Source organism: Homo sapiens, chromosome 5 (genome assembly GCF_000001405.40).
Source record: "Homo sapiens chromosome 5, GRCh38.p14 Primary Assembly".
NCBI lineage: Eukaryota > Metazoa > Chordata > Mammalia > Primates > Hominidae > Homo > Homo sapiens.
In genome coordinates, this window is record NC_000005.10 from 72,392,133 (window position 1) to 72,395,994 (window position 3,862).

The window sequence follows — 3,862 nt, forward strand, 5'->3', positions numbered from 1 at the left end:
TCAGGTTGGCCCATCATGAAAACAAAGGAAAATGGAAGAGCCAGCTGACTGGGTGCACTTTTGGAGACATCTATTATCAGATTTCTTTCCATTTCCAAATGCACAAATGACCTCTCAAGACTTAGGGGGAATTCATATTTGTGAGGACTCGAGCCCATGCAAACCATAGCATTTAAGTTGGAGTTGTTTAATGAATCACAGCCTAATTTCCTCTGTTGCTCATGGCTATTTTGTTGTTGCTTAAAATGTTTGCCAAGAAAAGGGTTATATAACTTCTTACCTTAACATGGCAGAGCATATTTGGTAGGTGATGAGTAAACTGCCTAAGCTGTGCAGCACAGAGTCCAGTTATAACCTGTGTGGAACTGGCATTTGTGTAAATAGTCTGACAAGAAAGTTTAATTTCATTACAAGTACTTAAAGCCAAACAAGGGGATTCTGTCTGTTAGCTTCTGGTTTGGTTTCTTCAGCTACTCTGGCCTCTTTCCCAGGTGGATAATTCTTGTTACTAAAATAGTACAGCTCTAAGGCAGGCCACATGATGTTTGAACGGAGTTAGGGCAGATGGCAAACATTCTTGACCTTCTATCAGCATGAAACCAGAGTAGGTTAATGCCCTCTTAGTGGCAAGAAGACCAGTCTGGTAAAGTTTAAGAGTTAGCATTTCAAATGTATTTGTTTATTTGATATTAGAGTTTGAAGACATTGACTAACATTGTCAAAATTTGGTACACTGCTAAAGGAAATCAACATACACTTTTAAAAGTCTGTATGGAGTATAAGTTGCTCAGTTTTCATGCAGGGGTAAATAGCACCAGGTGATAATGTACTGTGTTTTGACCCTCTCCTCTGATGCTAGTTTGCCCAGAAATGAGTAAATGCCTAGCAAATTAAGGTGGGCTCATAGGTTCAAACGCCAATCAATAAAGCTAAAGATAAGCACTTAGCAATGTTGAATTAAGGAAATTGTCTAACTGAGATTAATTTCCACACCATAAAATTTGTCTGTTTCAAGTTTTCAATTGTATTATTTTTGCAGAATTATGCAACCATCACTACCACCCAGTTTTACAACTTTTTCATTGCCTCAAAGAATTGCCTCATGCCCATTTGCAGTGAATCTCTACTCCACCCTCAGCCCCAGGAAACCACTAATCTAATTTCTGTCTCTATAGATTTCATATAAATGAGATACAATATGTATTCATGTGTACATCTGGCTCCTTTCAGTTAGCATAAAGTTTGGCTTTTATGAATAATCATGCAATGAACATTTGCCTACAAGTCTTTGTATAGATACTTGATTTTATTTCTCTTGGATAGACACTTCAGAGTGGAATTACTGGTTTGTATGGTGAGTTTATGTTTATTTTTTTCAGAAACTACCAAACTATTTTCCAAAGTAGCTGTACCATTTTCCATCCCCATCAGCAATTTTCCAATTGCTTCATATTCTCTCCAACACTCTTTATTGTCCATCTTTTCTATTTTAGTCACCCTAGTGTATCGAGTAGTAACTCATTGTGGTTTTACTTTGCATTTCTCTAGTGAGCAATGACATCCAACATCTTTTCATATGCTTGTTAAACAATCCTATATCTTCTTGGTGAAATATTTGTTTAGTCCATTTTTAAATTGTGTTGTTTGTTTTCTTGTATATCGAGTTATAAGAGTTCTTTATATGTTCTAAATTCAGGTCCTTTGTTAGATACATGATTTGCAAGTACTTTCTTCTAGCCTGCGACTTGTCTTTTTGTTGACTTAGTGGGGTCTTTTGAAGTACAAAAGTTTTTGATTGTGATGAAGTCCAATTTATCAACATTCATATTTTATGGATTATGCTTTCGTTGTGACTGACTTTTTTTGTATAATGGTTCTACCATAAATGGGTGCATGGGAACATATATTCTTCTCTTTCTGTTTTGCTATATCCCTAAAGCAGCTCAAAAGTATTCTACTGAAGAAAAATAGTGATAAGGGAGTTTCATATAGGCACAGTCTCTAACATTGCTTTGAGATTGGAGAAAAATGACCTTGATTTGAATGAAGGGGAGAAAAAACCCCTAAAACGCAGCAAGAAAGTTATTCTGAGATAAATGTTGCATTAAACCTAACATTAAATTAATATTAACAGTTATTAGCAATCCAGACGAGCAGGAAGGGAAGAAGTGGTTAAAACTTAACGTTGTTATTGCTTGAGCTCGGGAGTTCAAGACCACCCTGGGCAACATAGTTGGACCCCGTCTCGAAGAACAGTTGGACCCATCTCAAAAAACAAACAACATAACATTATTGATTCTTTCTGGGGACAATAAGTGAAAAAACAGAGGACTTAATTGTTTAAGGAGGGGAGTTCTTAACTCCAGATGGTCCAAGGATGGAATGGCAGTGCTTTCTTCCCTGTTATTCACTCACCTCTTTTCTGGTGGCACAGGATGGGGCTGGTTAGTAGAGTGTAAAAGAGAGGAGAAAAAAGCCTAGCAATAGGTAAAGAAAATAGCGATGTAGATAAATTGGAGTCAGAAAACCCAGGCTTATATCCCAGCTATAGCCTCAACTAGTGAAATTCTGTCAGTACACTTGATCTCACAGTCATTGTTTCTTCCCCTTTAACATGCAGACAATAATTCCTCTTTATAGCAGAATCAGGTGGGGGTGAGGTTGGGGGAGTTGCTTGTGAATGTGCCCACTGCACTGTAGGAACCCAGAGGTCTCTACCACAAAGATGCAGAAAAGCTCTGGGCCAAAGCACCTCTAGGTGGGGCAAGAGTGTGCTAGCATGAGGTCCCAGAAGATTAGAGATTGCCACCATTCGTGGCAAAAGTCAACATTTCCTCTGAAAACCTAACCAGACATTAAGAGGAAGAATCCCAGGCTCATCAGTCATCTAACACGGAGAGTGGAATACAGGAAAAGCTCTCAGAGAGAAAGAAACTCTGTAGATTTCTGTTTTTATCTTAAGTTATTAATGGTGTGGGAGATCTTAAACAATAATTGAAAGATAAATGATACCAGAGAACAAATGAGAGCAGAAGAGTTTTGTTGAAATCTAAGCACTATCATTAAAACAAGAAAAAAGCATGAGGAATTTTTCTTATCAGGCAATTGAAGACATTGGTTGAGATAACCTCTGAGACTATTTCTTGTTTATGATTCTACCGCAAGGAAGAACTCTTCATAGAAGTAAGACTTTACGCGCCAGAAAGAGTTTTTCCAGAAGAAATTTTAAGGTGGTTGATAAGACGGAGTTGCCCAAAAAATTTCTTTAAGAGGGAAAGTATTTTGAATGAAGTAAGAAAATAAAATAAAGAATTCCTGCCTTAAGACACATACCAGTACTTAAAAATTCACATGTGGGCTGGGCATGGTGGCTCATGCCTGTAATCCCAGCACTTTGGGAGGCCAAGGCGGGTGGATCACCTGAGGTCAGGAGTTTGAGACCGGCCTGGCCAACATGGTGAAACCCCGTCTCTACTAAAAATACAAAAATTATCTGAGTGTGGTGGTGGGCCTGCAATCCCAGCTACTCAGGAGACTGAGACAGGAGAATCGCTTGAACCTGGGAGGCGGAGGTTCCAGCCTGGGCAACAAAGAGCAAACCTCTGTCTCAAAAACAAACAAACAAACAAACAAAAAACTCACATGTGAAAAATGCTGAGGACAAGTTTTAATTCTGCAGATAGAATCTCGTTTAAATAGGAATCCAGAAAAAGCTGATAATTTGGAATGTGACACTGGGGGTGGGTAGCTTTCAGATCGCAATGTTAGACATAGCAATTAAATTTGGAAAGACCTGGATATTTGCAAATAGATCTGGACCTGTACACCTGGGCTTGGAGAAATCCTGTTAACCACAAATATT

General features: G+C 38.4%; 1 annotated feature.

The window, feature by feature from the left end:
* Positions 2,705 to 2,754: a silencer, noted in NCBI's record as "silent region_16080". NCBI's record gives its function as "represses an Ori minimal core promoter by ATAC-STARR-seq in GM12878 lymphoblastoid cells {active_cell/tissue: GM12878}" and the evidence as "EXISTENCE:reporter gene assay evidence [ECO:0000049][PMID:35858748]".